Source organism: Homo sapiens, chromosome 18 (assembly GCF_000001405.40).
Source record: "Homo sapiens chromosome 18, GRCh38.p14 Primary Assembly".
NCBI classification, from domain to species: Eukaryota; Metazoa; Chordata; class Mammalia; order Primates; family Hominidae; genus Homo; species Homo sapiens.
Genome location: NC_000018.10, coordinates 18,191,404 through 18,209,104, shown reverse-complemented (window position 1 = coordinate 18,209,104; position 17,701 = coordinate 18,191,404). Strand labels below are relative to the sequence as shown.

The 17,701-nt window shown below is 39.7% G+C and overlaps 1 annotated feature.

Moving 5' to 3' along the window:
• Window positions 1-17,701: part of a centromere (Linear centromere model derived predominantly from reads generated in PMID: 17803354. This region does not represent an actual centromere sequence, as long-range ordering of repeats and unmapped WGS contigs is not provided by the model. For details of model production, see http://arxiv.org/abs/1307.0035.) that runs on past both edges of the window.

Genomic DNA, 17,701 nt, shown 5'->3' with positions numbered 1-17,701 from the left:
CACTTACACACACTACAAAAAGAGTGTTTCAAACCTGCTCTGTGAAAGGGAATGTTCAATTCTGTGACTTGAATGCAATCATCACAAAGAACTTTCTGAGAATGCTGCTGACTGCTTTTTATATGTAATCCCGTTTCCAACGAAATCCTCAAATCTAGCCAAATAGCCACTTGCAGATTCCACAAAAAGAGTGTTTCAAAACTGTTCTGTCTAAAGAAATGTTCAACTGTGTTAGTTGAGGACACACATCAGAAACTAGTTTCTGAGAATGCTTCTGTCTAGTTGTTATGGGAAGATATTTCCTTTTCCAACGTAGGCCTGAAAGCGATCCAAATGTCCACTTCCATATACTAAAAAAAGAGTGTTTCAAACCTGCTCTACCAAAGGGAATGTTCTACTCTGTGACTTGAATGCAAACATCCCAAAGAAGTTTCTGAGAATGCTTCTGTCTAGATTTTCTCTGAAGACAATCCCGTTTCCAACGAAATCCTCAAGGCTAGGCAAATATACTCTTGCAGATTCCAGAAAAAGAGTGTTTCAAAACTGCTCCTTCAAAACGGTGGTTCAATTCTCTTAGTTGAGTACACACATCTCAAATAAGTTTCTGAGAATGCTTCTGCCTAGTTGTTACGGGAAGATATTTCCCTTTCCAACATGGGCCTGAAAGCGCTCCAAATGTCCACTTCCAGATACTACAAAAAGAGTGTTTCAAACCTGCTCTACCAAAGGGAATGTTCTACTCTGTGACTTGAATGCAAACATCCCAAAGAAGTTTCTGAGAATGCTTCTGTCTAGATTTTACCTGAAGACAATCCCGTTTCCCACGAAATCCTCAAAGCTATGCAAATATCCTCTTGCAGATTCTACAAAAAGAGTGTTTCAAAACTGCTCTATGAAAAGAAAGGTTCAACTCTGTCAGTAGAGGGCACACATCACAAACAAGTTTCTGAGAATGCTTCTGCATAGTTGTTACGGGAAGATATTTCCCTTTCCAAAATAGGCCTGAAAGCGCTCCAAATGTCCACTTCCAGATACTACAAAAGGAGTGATTCCAACCTGCTCTATGATAGGGAATGTTCAACTCTGTGTCCTGAATACAAACATCACAAAGATGTTTCTCAGAACGCTGCAGTCTGCAATTTGTATGAATTCCCGCTTCCAACGAAATCCTCAAAACTAGCCAAATATCCACTTGCAGATTCCACAAAAAGACCATTTCAAAACTGCTCTATCAAAAGAAAGGTTCAACTTTGTTAGTTGAGTAGATACAGCATAACCAAGTTTCTGAGAATGCTTCTGTCCAGTTTTTATGGGAAGATATTTCCTTTTTCACCTTAGCCCTGAAATCGCTCCAAAAGTCCAGTTCCAGATACTACAAAAGGGGTGTTTCAAGACTGCTCTATGAAAGGGAGTGTTCAACTTTTGACTTGAATGCAAACATCAGAAAGCAGTTTCTCAGAACGCTGCTGTGTGCTTTTTATATGTATTCCCGCTTCCAGCGAAATCCCCAAAGCTAGCCAAATATCCACTTGCAGATTCCAGAAAAAGAGTGTTTCAAAACTGCTCCTTCAAAACGGTGGTTCAATTCTCTTAGTTGAGTACACACATCTCAAATAAGTTTCTGAGAATGCTTCTGTCTATTTGTTATGGGAAGATATTTCCTTTTCCAACATAGGCCTGAAAGGGCTCCAAATGGACACTTCCAGATACTACAAAAGGAGTGATTCAAACCTGCTCTATGATAGGGAATGTTCAACTCTGTGTCCTGAATACAAACATCACAAAGATGTTTCTCAGAACGCTGCAGTCTGCAATTTGTATGAATTCCCGCTTCCAACGAAATCCTCAAAACTAGCCAAATATCCACTTGCAGATTCCACAAAAAGAGCGTTTCAAAACTTCTCTATGAAAAGAAAGGTTCTACTCCTTTAGTTGAGGACACACATCACGAGTAAGTTTCTGAGAATGCTTCTGTCTAGTTTTTATGGGAAGATATGTCCTTTTTCACCTTAGGCCGGAAAGCGCTCCAAATGTCCACTTACACACACTACAAAAAGAGTGTTTCAAACCTGCTCTGTGAAAGGGAATGTTCAATTCTGTGACTTGAATGCAATCATCACAAAGAAGTTTCTGAGAATGCTGCTGTCTGCTTTTTATATGTAATCCCGTTTCCAACGAAATCCTCAAATCTAGCCAAATATCCACTTGCAGATTCCACAAAGAGAGTGTTTCAAAACTGTTCTGTCTAAAGAAATGTTCAACTGTGTTAGTTGAGGACACACATCAGAAACTAGTTTCTGAGAATGCTTCTGTCTAGTTGTTATGGGAAGATATTTCCTTTTCCAACGTAGGCCTGAAAGCGCTCCAAATGTCCACTTCCATATACTAAAAAAAGAGTGTTTCAAACCTGCTCTACCAAAGGGAATGTTCTACTCTGTGACTTGAATGCAAACATCCCAAAGAAGTTTCTGAGAATGCTTCTGTCTAGATTGGATCTGAAGACAATCCCGTTGCCAACGAAATCCTCAAATCTATGCAAATATCCTCTTGCAGATTCCAGAAAAAGAGTGTTTCAAAACTGCTCCTTCAAAACGGTGGTTCAATTCTCTTAGTTGAGTACACACATCTCAAATAAGTTTCTGAGAATGCTTCTGCCTAGTTGTTACGGGAAGATATTTCCCTTTCCAACATAGGCCTGAAAGCGCTCCAAATGTCCACTTCCAGATACTACAAAAAGAGTGTTTCAAACCTGCTCTACCAAAGGGAATGTTCTACTCTGTGACTTGAATGCAAACATCCCGAAGAATTTTCTGAGAATGCTTCTGTCTAGATTTTACCTGAAGACAATCCCGTTTCCCACGAAATCCTCAAAGCTATGCAAATATCCTCTTGCAGATTCTACAAAAAGAGTGTTTCGAAACTGCTCTATGAAAAGAAAGGTTCAACTCTGTCAGTAGAGGGCACACATCACAAACAAGTTTCTGAGAATGCTTGTGTCTACTTGTTATGGGAAGATATTTCCTTTTTCAACATAGGCCTGAAAGCGCTCCAAATGTCCACTTCCAGATACTACAAAAGGAGTGATTCCAACCTGCTCTATGATAGGGAATGTTCAACTCTGTGTCCTGAATACAAACATCACAAAGATGTTTCTCAGAACGCTGCAGTCTGCAATTTGTATGAATTCCCGCTTCCAACGAAATCCTCAAAGCTAGCCAAATATCCACTTGCAGATTCCACAAAAAGAGCATTTCAAAACTGCTCTATCAAAAGAAAGGTTCAACTTTGTTAGTTGAGTAGATATAGCATAAACAAGTTTCTGAGAATGCTTCTGTCCAGTTTTTATGGGAAGATATTTCCTTTTTCAACTTAGCCCTGAAAGCGCTCCAAATGTCCAGTTCCAGATACTACAAAAGGGGTGTTTCAAGACTGCTCTATGAAAGGGAGTGTTCAACTTTTGACTTGAATGCAAACATCAGAAAGCAGTTTCTCAGAACGCTGCTGTGTGCTTTTTATATGTATTCCCGCTTCCAGCGAAATCCCCAAAGCTAGCCAAATATCCACTTGCAGATTCCAGAAAAAGAGTGTTTCCAAACTGCTCCTTCAAAACGGTGGTTCAATTCTCTTAGTTGAGTACACACATCTCAAATAAGTTTCTGAGAATGCTTCTGTCTAGTTGTTATGGGAAGATATTTCCTTTTCCAACATAGGCCTGAAAGCGCTCCAAATGTCCACTTCCAGATACTACAAAAGGAGTGATTCCAACCTACTCTATGATAGGGAATGTTCAACTCTGTGTCCTGAATACAAACATCACAAAGATGTTTCTCAGAACGCTGCAGTCTGCAATTTGTATGAATTCCCGCTTCCAACGAAATCCTCAAAACTAGCCAAATATCCACTTGCAGATTCCACAAAAAGAGCGTTTCAAAACTTCTCTATGAAAAGAAAGGTTCTACTCCTTTAGTTGAGGACACACATCACGAGTAAGTTTCTGAGAATGCTTCTGTCTAGTTTTTATGGGAAGATATTTCCTTTTTCACCTTAGGCCGGTAAGTGCTCCAAATGTCCACTTACACACACTACAAAAAGAGTGTTTCAAACCTGCTCTGTGAAAGGGAATGTTCAATTCTGTGACTTGAATGCAATCATCACAAAGAACTTTCTGAGAATGCCGCTGACTGCTTTTTATATGTAATCCCGTTTCCAACGAAATCCTCAAATCTAGCCAAATAGCCACTTGCAGATTCCACAAAAAGAGTGTTTCAAAACTGTTCTGTCTAAAGAAATGTTCAACTGTGTTAGTTGAGGACACACATCAGAAACTAGTTTCTGAGAATGCTTCTGTCTAGTTGTTATGGGAAGATATTTCCTTTTCCAACGTAGGCCTGAAAGCGCTCCAAATGTCCACTTCCAGATACTACAAAAAGAGTGTTTCAAACCTGCTCTACCAAAGGGAATGTTCTACTCTGTGACTTGAATGCAAGCATCCCAAAGAAGTTTCTGAGAATGCTTCTGTCTAGATTTTCTCTGAAGACAATCCCGTTTCCAACGAAATCCTCAAGGCTAGGCAAATATACTCTTGCAGATTCCAGAAAAAGAGTGTTTCAAAACTGCTCCTTCAAAACGGTGGTTCAATTCTCTTAGTTGAGTACACACATCTCAAATAAGTTTCTGAGAATGCTTCTGCCTAGTTGTTACGGGAAGATATTTCCCTTTCCAACATGGGCCTGAAAGCGCTCCAAATGTCCACTTCCAGATACTACAAAAAGAGTGTTTCAAACCTGCTCTACCAAAGGGAATGTTCTACTCTGTGACTTGAATGCAAACATCCCAAAGAAGTTTCTGAGAATGCTTCTGTCTAGATTTTACCTGAAGACAATCCCGTTTCCCACGAAATCCTCAAAGCTATGCAAATATCCTCTTGCAGATTCTACAAAAAGAGTGTTTCAAAACTGCTCTATGAAAAGAAAGGTTCAACTCTGTCAGTAGAGGGCACACATCACAAACAAGTTTCTGAGAATGCTTCTGCATAGTTGTTACGGGAAGATATTTCCCTTTCCAAAATAGGCCTGAAAGCGCTCCAAATGTCCACTTCCAGATACTACAAAAGGAGTGATTCCAACCTGCTCTATGATAGGGAATGTTCAACTCTGTGTCCTGAATACAAACATCACAAAGATGTTTCTCAGAACGCTGCAGTCTGCAATTTGTATGAATTCCCGCTTCCAACGAAATCCTCAAAACTAGCCAAATATCCACTTGCAGATTCCACAAAAAGACCATTTCAAAACTGCTCTATCAAAAGAAAGGTTCAACTTTGTTAGTTGAGTAGATACAGCATAACCAAGTTTCTGAGAATGCTTCTGTCCAGTTTTTATGGGAAGATATTTCCTTTTTCACCTTAGCCCTGAAATCGCTCCAAAAGTCCAGTTCCAGATACTACAAAAGGGGTGTTTCAAGACTGCTCTATGAAAGGGAGTGTTCAACTTTTGACTTGAATGCAAACATCAGAAAGCAGTTTCTCAGAACGCTGCTGTGTGCTTTTTATATGTATTCCCGCTTCCAGCGAAATCCCCAAAGCTAGCCAAATATCCACTTGCAGATTCCAGAAAAAGAGAGTTTCAAAACTGCTCCTTCAAAACGGTGGTTCAATTCTCTTAGTTGAGTACACACATCTCAAATAAGTTTCTGAGAATGCTTCTGTCTAGTTGTTATGGGAAGATATTTCCTTTTCCAACATAGGCCTGAAAGCGCTCCAAATGTCCACTTCCAGATACTACAAAAGGAGTGATTCAAACCTGCTCTATGATAGGGAATGTTCAACTCTGTGTCCTGAATACAAACATCACAAAGATGTTTCTCAGAACGCTGCAGTCTGCAATTTGTATGAATTCCCGCTTCCAACGAAATCCTCAAAACTAGCCAAATATCCACTTGCAGATTCCACAAAAAGAGCGTTTCAAAACTTCTCTATGAAAAGAAAGGTTCTACTCCTTTAGTTGAGGACACACATCACGAGTAAGTTTCTGAGAATGCTTCTGTCTAGTTTTTATGGGAAGATATTTCCTTTTTCACCTTAGGCCGGTAAGTGCTCCAAATGTCCACTTACACACACTACAAAAAGAGTGTTTCAAACCTGCTCTGTGAAAGGGAATGTTCAATTCTGTGACTTGAATGCAATCATCACAAAGAACTTTCTGAGAATGCTGCTGACTGCTTTTTATATGTAATCCCGTTTCCAACGAAATCCTCAAATCTAGCCAAATAGCCACTTGCAGATTCCACAAAAAGAGTGTTTCAAAACTGTTCTGTCTAAAGAAATGTTCAACTTGTGTTAGTTGAGGACACACATCAGAAACTAGTTTCTGAGAATGCTTCTGTCTAGTTGTTATGGGAAGATATTTCCTTTTCCAACGTAGGCCTGAAAGCGCTCCAAATGTCCACTTCCATATACTAAAAAAAGAGTGTTTCAAACCTGCTCTACCAAAGGGAATGTTCTACTCTGTGACTTGAATGCAAACATCCCAAAGAAGTTTCTGAGAATGCTTCTGTCTAGATTTTCTCTGAAGACAATCCCGTTTCCAACGAAATCCTCAAGGCTAGGCAAATATACTCTTGCAGATTCCAGAAAAAGAGTGTTTCAAAACTGCTCCTTCAAAACGGTGGTTCAATTCTCTTAGTTGAGTACACACATCTCAAATAAGTTTCTGAGAATGCTTCTGCCTAGTTGTTACGGGAAGATATTTCCCTTTCCAACATGGGCCTGAAAGCGCTCCAAATGTCCACTTCCAGATACTACAAAAAGAGTGTTTCAAACCTGCTCTACCAAAGGGAATGTTCTACTCTGTGACTTGAATGCAAACATCCCAAAGAAGTTTCTGAGAATGCTTCTGTCTAGATTTTACCTGAAGACAATCCCGTTTCCCACGAAATCCTCAAAGCTATGCAAATATCCTCTTGCGGATTCTATAAAAGAGTGTTTCAAAACTGCTCTATGAAAAGAAAGGTTCAACTCTGTCAGTAGAGGGCACACATCACAAACAAGTTTCTGAGAATGCTTGTGTCTAGTTGTTATGGGAAGATATTTCCTTTTTCAACATAGGCCTGAAAGCGCTCCAAATGTCCACTTCCAGATACTACAAAAGGAGTGATTCCAACATGCTCTATGATAGGGAATGTTCATCTCTGTGTCTTGAATACAAACATTTCAAAGATGTTTCTCAGAACGCTGCAGTCTGCAATTTGTATGAATTCCCGCTTCCAACGAAATCCTCAAAACTAGCCAAATATCCACTTGGAGATTCCACAAAAAGAGCGTTTCAAAACTTCTCTATGAATAGAAAGGTTCTACTCCTTTAGTTGAGGACACACATCACGAGTAAGTTTCTGAGAATGCTTCTGTCTAGTTTTTATGGGAAGATATGTCCTTTTTCACCTTAGGCCGGAAAGCGCTCCAAATGTCCACTTACACACACTACAAAAAGAGTGTTTCAAACCTGCTCTATGAAAGGGAATGTTCAATTCTGTGACTTGAAAGCAATCATCACAAAGAACTTTCTGAGAATGCTGCTGACTGCTTTTTATATGTAATCCCGTTTCCAACGAAATCCTCAAATCTAGCCCAATATCCACTTGCAGATTCCACAAAAAGAGTGTTTCAAAACTGTTCTGTATAAAGAAATGTACAACTGTGTTAGTTGAGGACACACATCAGAAACTAGTTTCTGAGAATGCTTTCTGTCTAGTTGTTATGGGAAGATATTTCCTTTTCCAACGTAGGCCTGAAAGCGCTCCAAATGTCCACTTCCATATACTAAAAAAAGAGTGTTTCAAACCTGCTCTACCAAAGGGAATGTTCTACTCTGTGACTTGAATGCAAACATCCCAAAGAAGTTTCTGAGAATGCTTCTGTCTAGATTTTATCTGAAGACAATCCCGTTTCCAACGAAATCCTCAAGGCTAGGCAAATATACTCTTGCAGATTCCAGAAAAAGAGGGTTTTAAAACTGCTCCTTCAAAACGGTGGTTCAATTCTCTTAGTTGAGTACACACATCTCAAATAAGTTTCTGAGAATGCTTCTGCCTAGTTGTTACGGGAAGATATTTCCCTTTGCAACATGGGCCTGAAAGCGCTCCAAATGTCCACTTCCAGATACTACAAAAAGAGGGTTTCAAACCTGCTCTGCCAAAGGGAATGTTCTACTCTGTGACTTGAATGCAAACATCCCAAAGAAGTTTCTGAGAATACTTCTGTCTAGATTTTACCTGAAGACAATCCCGTTTCCCACGAAATCCTCAAAGCTATGCAAATATCCTCTTGCGGATTCTACAAAAAGAGTGTTTCAAAACTGCTCTATGAAAAGAAAGGTTCAACTCTGTCAGTAGAGGGCACACATCACAAACAAGTTTCTGAGAATGCTTGTGTCTAGTTGTTATGGGAAGATATTTCCTTTTTCAACATAGGCCTGAAAGCGCTCCAAATGTCCACTTCCAGATACTACAAAAGGAGTGATTCCAACCTGCTCTATGATAGGGAATGTTCATCTCTGTGTCCTGAATACAAACATCACAAAGATGTTTCTCAGAACGCTGCAGTCTGCAATTTGTATGAATTCCCGCTTCCAACGAAATCCTCAAAACTAGCCAAATATCCACTTGCAGATTCCGCAAAAAGAGCATTTCAAAACTGCTCTATCAAAAGAAAGGTTCAACTTTGTTAGTTGAGTTGATACAGCATAAACAAGTTTCTGAGAATGCTTCTGTCCAGTTTTTATGGGAAGATATTTCCTTTTTCACCTTAGCCCTGAAAGCGCTCCAAAAGTCCAGTTCCAGATACTACAAAAGGAGTGTTTCAGGACTGCTCTATGAAAGGGAGTGTTCAACTTTTGACTTGAATGCAAACATCAGAAAGCAGTTTCTCAGAACGCTGCTGTGTGCTTTTTATATGTATTCCCGCTTCCAGCGAAATCCCCAAAGCTAGCCAAATATCCACTTGCAGATTCCAGAAAAAGAGTGTTTCAAAACTGCTCCTTCAAAACGGTGGTTCAATTCTCTTAGTTGAGTACACACATCTCAAATAAGTTTCTGAGAATGCTTCTGTCTAGTTGTTATGGGAAGATATTTCCTTTTCCAACATAGGCCTGAAAGTGCTCCAAATGTCCACTTCCAGATACTACAAAAGGAGTGATTCAAACCTGCTCTATGATAGGGAATGTTCAACTCTGTGTCCTGAATACAAACATCACAAAGATGTTTCTCAGAACGCTGCAGTCTGCAATTTGTATGAATTCCCGCTTCCAACGAAATCCTCCAAACTAGCCAAATATCCACTTGCAGATTCCACAAAAAGAGCGTTTCAAAACTTCTCTATGAAAAGAAAGGTTCTACTCCTTTAGTTGAGGACACACATCACGAGTAAGTTTCTGAGAATGCTTCTGTCTAGTTTTTATGGGAAGATATTTCCTTTTTCACCTTAGGCCGGTAAGTGCTCCAAATGTCCACTTACACACACTACAAAAAGAGTGTTTCAAACCTGCTCTGTGAAAGGGAATGTTCAATTCTGTGACTTGAATGCAATCATCACAAAGAACTTTCTGAGAATGCCGCTGACTGCTTTTTATATGTAATCCCGTTTCCAACGAAATCCTCAAATCTAGCCAAATAGCCACTTGCAGATTCCACAAAAAGAGTGTTTCAAAACTGTTCTGTCTAAAGAAATGTTCAACTGTGTTAGTTGAGGACACACATCAGAAACTAGTTTCTGAGAATGCTTCTGTCTAGTTGTTATGGGAAGATATTTCCTTTTCCAACGTAGGCCTGAAAGCGCTCCAAATGTCCACTTCCAGATACTACAAAAAGAGTGTTTCAAACCTGCTCTACCAAAGGGAATGTTCTACTCTGTGACTTGAATGCAAACATCCCAAAGAAGTTTCTGAGAATGCTTCTGTCTAGATTTTCTCTGAAGACAATCCCGTTTCCAACGAAATCCTCAAGGCTAGGCAAATATACTCTTGCAGATTCCAGAAAAAGAGTGTTTCAAAACTGCTCCTTCAAAACGGTGGTTCAATTCTCTTAGTTGAGTACACACATCTCAAATAAGTTTCTGAGAATGCTTCTGCCTAGTTGTTACGGGAAGATATTTCCCTTTCCAACATGGGCCTGAAAGCGCTCCAAATGTCCACTTCCAGATACTACAAAAAGAGTGTTTCAAACCTGCTCTACCAAAGGGAATGTTCTACTCTGTGACTTGAATGCAAACATCCCAAAGAAGTTTCTGAGAATGCTTCTGTCTAGATTTTACCTGAAGACAATCCCGTTTCCCACGAAATCCTCAAAGCTATGCAAATATCCTCTTGCAGATTCTACAAAAAGAGTGTTTCAAAACTGCTCTATGAAAAGAAAGGTTCAACTCTGTCAGTAGAGGGCACACATCACAAACAAGTTTCTGAGAATGCTTCTGCATAGTTGTTACGGGAAGATATTTCCCTTTCCAAAATAGGCCTGAAAGCGCTCCAAATGTCCACTTCCAGATACTACAAAAGGAGTGATTCCAACCTGCTCTATGATAGGGAATGTTCAACTCTGTGTCCTGAATACAAACATCACAAAGATGTTTCTCAGAACGCTGCAGTCTGCAATTTGTATGAATTCCCGCTTCCAACGAAATCCTCAAAACTAGCCAAATATCCACTTGCAGATTCCACAAAAAGACCATTTCAAAACTGCTCTATCAAAAGAAAGTTTCAACTTTGTTAGTTGAGTAGATACAGCATAACCAAGTTTCTGAGAATGCTTCTGTCCAGTTTTTATGGGAAGATATTTCCTTTTTCACCTTAGCCCTGAAAGCGCTCCAAATGTCCAGTTCCAGATACTACAAAAGGGGTGTTTCAAGACTGCTCTATGAAAGGGGGTGTTCAACTTTTGACTTGAATGCAAACATCAGAAAGCAGTTTCTCAGAACGCTGCTGTGTGCTTTTTATATGTATTCCCGCTTCCAGCGAAATCCCCAAAGCTAGCCAAATATCCACTTGCAGATTCCAGAAAAAGAGTGTTTCAAAACTGCTCCTTCAAAACGGTGGTTCAATTCTCATAGTTGAGTACACACATCTCAAATAAGTTTCTGAGGATGCTTCTGTCTAGTTGTTATGGGAAGATATTTCCTTTTTCAACATAGGCCTGAAAGCGCTCCAAATGTCGACTTCCAGATACTACAAAAGGAGTGATTCCAGCCTTCTCTATGATAGGGAATGTTCAACTCTGTGTCCTGAATACAAACATCACAAAGACGTTTCTCAGAACGCTGCAGTCTGCAATTTGTATGAATTCCCGCTTCCAACGAAATCCTCAAAACTAGCCAAATATCCACTTGCAGATTCCACAAAAAGAGCGTTTCAAAACTTCTCTATGAAAAGAAAGGTTCTACTCCTTTAGTTGAGGACACACAATACGAGTAAGTTTCTGAGAATGCTTCTGTCCAGTTTTTATGGGAAGATATTTCCTTTTTCACCTTAGCCCTGAAAGCGCTCCAAAAGTCCAGTTCCAGATACTACAAAAGGAGTGTTTCAGGACTGCTCTATGAAAGGGAGTGTTCAACTTTTGACTTGAATGCAAACATCAGAAAGCAGTTTCTCAGAACGCTGCTGTGTGCTTTTTATATGTATTCCCGCTTCCAGCGAAATCCCCAAAGCTAGCCAAATATCCACTTGCAGATTCCAGAAAAAGAGTGTTTCAAAACTGCTCCTTCAAAACGGTGGTTCAATTCTCTTAGTTGAGTACACACATCTCAAATAAGTTTCTGAGAATGCTTCTGTCTAGTTGTTATGGGAAGATATTTCCTTTTCCAACATAGGCCTGAAAGCGCTCCAAATGTCCACTTCCAGATACTACAAAAGGAGTGATTCAAACCTGCTCTATGATAAGGAATGTTCAACTCTGTGTCCTGAATACAAACATCACACAGATGTTTCTCAGAACGCTGCAGTCTGCAATTTGTATGAATTCCCGCTTCCAACGAAATCCTCAAAACTAGCCAAATATCCACTTGCAGATTCCACAAAAAGAGCGTTTCAAAACTTCTCTATGAAAAGAAAGGTTCTACTCCTTTAGTTGAGGACACACACCACGAGTAAGTTTCTGAGAATGCTTCTGTCTAGTTTTTATGGGAAGATATTTCCTTTTTCACCTTAGGCCGGAAAGTGCTCCAAATGTCCACTTACACACACTACAAAAAGAGTGTTTCAAACCTGCTCTGTGAAAGGGAATGTTCAATTCTGTGACTTGAATGCAATCATCACAAAGAACGTTCTGAGAATGCTGCTGTCTGCTTTTTATATGTAATCCCGTTTCCAACGAAATCCTCAAATCTAGCCAAATAGCCACTTGCAGATTCCACAAAAAGAGAGTTTCAAAACTGTTCTGTCTAAAGAAATGTGCAACTGTGTTAGTTGAGGACACACATCAGAAACTAGTTTCTGAGAATGCTTCTGTCTAATTGTTATGGGAAGATATTTCCTTTTCCAACGTAGGCCTGAAAGCGCTCCAAATGTCCACTTCCATATACTAAAAAAAGAGTGTTTCAAACCTGCTCTACCAAAGGGAATGTTCTACTCTGTGACTTGAATGCAAACATCCCAAAGAAGTTTCTGAGAATGCTTCTGTCTAGATTTGATCTGAAGACAATCCCGTTTCCAACGAAATCCTCAAAGCTAGGCAAATATCCTCTTGCAGATTCCAGAAAAAGAGTGTTTCAAAACTGCTCCTTCAAAACGGTGGTTCAATTCTCTTAGTTGAGTACACACATCTCAAATAAGTTTCTGAGAATGCTTCTGTCTAGTTGTTATGGGAAGATATTTCCTTTTCCAACATAGGCCTGAAAGCGCTCCAAATGTCCACTTCCAGATACTACAAAAGGAGTGATTCCAACCTGCTCTATGATAGGGAATGTTCAACTCTGTGTCCTGAATACAAACATCACAAAGATGTTTCTCAGAACGCTGCAGTCTGCAATTTGTATGAATTCCCGCTTCCAACGAAATCCTCAAAACTAGCCAAATATCCACTTGCAGATTCCACAAAAAGAGCGTTTCAAAACTTCTCTATGAAAAGAAAGGTTCTACTCCTTTAGTTGAGGACACACATCACGAGTAAGTTTCTGAGAATGCTTCTGTCTAGTTTTTATGGGAAGATATTTCCTTTTTCACCTTAGGCCGGTAAGTGCTCCAAATGTCCACTTACACACACTACAAAAAGAGTGTTTCAAACCTGCTCTGTGAAAGGGAATGTTCAATTCTGTGACTTGAATGCAATCATCACAAAGAACTTTCTGAGAATGCTGCTGACTGCTTTTTATATGTAATCCCGTTTCCAACGAAATCCTCAAATCTAGCCAAATAGCCACTTGCAGATTCCACAAAAAGAGTGTTTCAAAACTGTTCTGTCTAAAGAAATGTTCAACTGTGTTAGTTGAGGACACACATCAGAAACTAGTTTCTGAGAATGCTTCTGTCTAGTTGTTATGGGAAGATATTTCCTTTTCCAACGTAGGCCTGAAAGCGCTCCAAATGTCCACTTCCAGATACTAAAAAAAGAGTGTTTCAAACCTGCTCTACCAAAGGGAATGTTCTACTCTGTGACTTGAATGCAAGCATCCCAAAGAAGTTTCTGAGAATGCTTCTGTCTAGATTTTCTCTGAAGACAATCCCGTTTCCAACGAAATCCTCAAGGCTAGGCAAATATCCTCTTGCAGATTCCAGAAAAAGAGTGTTTCAAAACTGCTCCTTCAAAACGGTGGTTCAATTCTCTTAGTTGAGTACACACATCTCAAATAAGTTTCTGAGAATGCTTCTGCCTAGTTGTTACGGGAAGATATTTCCCTTTCCAACATGGGCCTGAAAGCGCTCAAAATGTCCACTTCCAGATACTACAAAAAGAGTGTTTCAAACCTGCTCTACCAAAGGGAATGTTCTACTCTGTGACTTGAATGCAAACATCCCAAAGAAGTTTCTGAGAATGCTTCTGTCTAGATTTTACCTGAAGACAATCCCGTTTCCCACGAAATCCTCAAAGCTATGCAAATATCCTCTTGCGGATTCTACAAAAAGAGTGTTTCAAAACTGCTCTATGAAAAGAAAGGTTCAACTCTGTCAGTAGAGGGCACACATCACAAACAAGTTTCTGAGAATGCTTGTGTCTAGTTGTTATGGGAAGATATTTCCTTTTTCAACATAGGGCCTGAAAGCGCTCCAAATGTCCACTTCCAGATACTACAAAAGGAGTGATTCCAACCTGCTCTATGATAGGGAATGTTCATCTCTGTGTCCTGAATACAAACATCACAAAGATGTTTCTCAGAACGCTGCAGTCTGCAATTTGTATGAATTCCCGCTTCCAACGAAATCCTCAAAACTAGCCAAATATCCACTTGGAGATTCCACAAAAAGAGCGTTTGAAAACTTCTCTATGAATAGAAAGGTTCTACTCCTTTAGTTGAGGACACACATCACGAGTAAGTTTCTGAGAATGCTTCTGTCTAGTTTTTATGGGAAGATATTTCCTTTTTCACCTTAGGCCGGAAAGCGCTCCAAATGTCCACTTACACACACTACAAAAAGAGGGTTTCAAACCTGCTCTGTGAAAGGGAATGTTCAATTCTGTGACTTGAATGCAGTCATCACAAAGAACTTTCTGAGAATGCTGCTGTCTGCTTTTTATATGTAATCCCGTTTCCAACGAAATCCTCAAATCTAGCCAAATAGCCACTTGCAGATTCCACAAAAAGAGTGTTTCAAAACTGTTCTGTCTAAAGAAAAGTTCAACTGTGTTAGTTGAGGACACACATCAGAAACTAGTTTCTGAGAATGCTTCTGTCTAGTTGTTATGGGAAGATATTTCCTTTTCCAACGTAGGCCTGAAAGCGCTCCAAATGTCCACTTCCATATACTAAAAAAAGAGTGTTTCAAACCTGCTCTACCAAAGGGAATGTTCTACTCTGTGACTTGAATGCAAACATCCCAAAGAAGTTTCTGAGAATGCTTCTGTCTAGATTTTATCTGAAGACAATCCCGTTTCCAACGAAATCCTCAAAGCTAGGCAAATATCCTTTTGCAGATTCCAGAAAAAAGAGTGTTTCAAAACTGCTCCTTCAAAACGTTGGTTCAATTCTCTTAGTTGAGTACACACATCTCAAATAAGTTTCTGAGAATGCTTCTGCCTAGTTGTTACGGGAAGATATTTCCCTTTCCAACATGGGCCTGAAAGCGCTCCAAATGTCCACTTCCAGATACTACAAAAAGAGTGTTTCAAACCTGCTCTACCAAAGGGAATGTTCTACTCTGTGACTTGAATGCAAACATCCCAAAGAAGTTTCTGAGAATGCTTCTGTCTAGATTTTACCTGAAGACAATCCGGTTTCCCACGAAATCCTCAAAGCTATGCAAATATCCTCTTGCAGATTCTACAAAAAGAGTGTTTCAAAACTGCTCTATGAAAAGAAAGGTTCAACTCTGTCAGTAGAGGGCACACATCACAAACAAGTTTCTGAGAATGCTTCTGCATAGTTGTTACGGGAAGATATTTCCCTTTCCAAAATAGGCCTGAAAGCGCTCCAAATGTCCACTTCCAGATACTACAAAAGGAGTGATTCCAACCTGCTCTATGATAGGGAATGTTCAACTCTGTGTCCTGAATACAAACATCACAAAGATGTTTCTCAGAACGCTGCAGTCTGCAATTTGTATGAATTCCCGCTTCCAACGAAATCCTCAAAACTAGCCAAATATCCACTTGCAGATTCCACAAAAAGACCATTTCAAAACTGCTCTATCAAAAGAAAGGTTCAACTTTGTTAGTTGAGTAGATACAGCATAAACAAGTTTCTGAGAATGCTTCTGTCCAGTTTTTATGGGAAGATATTTCCTTTTTCACCTTAGCCCTGAAATCGCTCCAAAAGTCCAGTTCCAGATACTACAAAAGGGGTGTTTCAAGACTGCTCTATGAAAGGGAGTGTTCAACTTTTGACTTGAATGCAAACATCAGAAAGCAGTTTCTCAGAACGCTGCTGTGTGCTTTTTATATGTATTCCCGCTTCCAGCGAAATCCCCAAAGCTAGCCAAATATCCACTTGCAGATTCCAGAAAAAGAGAGTTTCAAAACTGCTCCTTCAAAACGGTGGTTCAATTCTCTTAGTTGAGTACACACATCTCAAATAAGTTTCTGAGAATGCTTCTGTCTAGTTGCTATGGGAAGATATTTCCTTTTCCAACATAGGCCTGAAAGCGCTCCAAATGTCCACTTCCAGATACTACAAAAGGAGTGATTCAAACCTGCTCTATGATAGGGAATGTTCAACTCTGTGTCCTGAATACAAACATCACAAAGATGTTTCTCAGAACGCTGCAGTCTGCATCTTGTATGAATTCCCGCTTCCAACGAAATCCTCCAAACTAGCCAAATATCCACTTGCAGATTCCACAAAAAGAGCGTTTCAAAACTTCTCTATGAAAAGAAAGGTTCTACTCCTTTAGTTGAGGACACACATCACGAGTAAGTTTCTGAGAATGCTTCTGTCTAGTTTTTATGGGAAGATATTTCCTTGTTCACCTTAGGCCGGAAAGCGCTCCAAATGTCCACTTACACACACTACAAAAAGAGTGTTTCAAACCTGCTCTGTGAAAGGGAATGTTCAATTCTGTGACTTGAATGCAATCATCACAAAGAAGTTTCTGAGAATGCTGCTGTCTGCTTTTTATATGTAATCCCGTTTCCAACGAAATCCTCAAATCTAGCCAAATATCCACTTGCAGATTCCACAAAAAGAGTGTTTCAAAACTGTTCTGTCTAAAGAAATGTTCAACTGTGTTAGTTGAGGACACACATCAGAAACTAGTTTCTGAGAATGCTTCTGTCTAGTTGTTATGGGAAGATATTTCCTTTTCCAACGTAGGCCTGAAAGCGCTCCAAATGTCCACTTCCATATACTAAAAAAAGAGTGTTTCATACCTGCTCTACCAAAGGAATGTTCTACTCTGTGACTTGAATGCAAACATCCCAAAGAAGTTTCTGAGAATGCTTCTGTCTAGATTTGATCTGAAGACAATCCCTTTTCCAACGAAATCCTCAAAGCTAGGCAAATATCCTCTTGCAGATTCCAGAAAAAGAGTGTTTCCAAACTGCTCCTTCAAAACGGTGGTTCAATTCTCTTAGTTGAGTACACACATCTCAAATAAGTTTCTGAGAATGCTTCTGCCTAGTTGTTACGGGAAGATATTTCCCTTTCCAACATAGGCCTGAAAGCGCAACAAATGTCCACTTCCAGATACGACAAAAAGAGTGTTTCAAACCTGCTCTACCAAAGGGAATGTTCTACTCTGTGACTTGAATGCAAACATCCCGAAGAAGTTTCTGAGAATGCTTCTGTCTAGATTTTACCTGAAGACAATCCCGTTTCCCACGAAATCCTCAGAGCTATGCAAATATCCTCTTGCAGATTCTACAAAAAGAGTGTTTCGAAACTGCTGTATGAAAAGAAAGGTTCAACTCTGTCAGTAGAGGAAACACATCACCAACAAGTTTCTGAGAATGCTTCTGTCTAGTTGTTATGGGAAGATTTTTCCTTTTTCAACATAGGCCTGAAAGCGCTCCAAATGTCCACTTCCAGATACTACAAAAGGAGTGATCCCAACCTGCTCTATGATAGGGAATG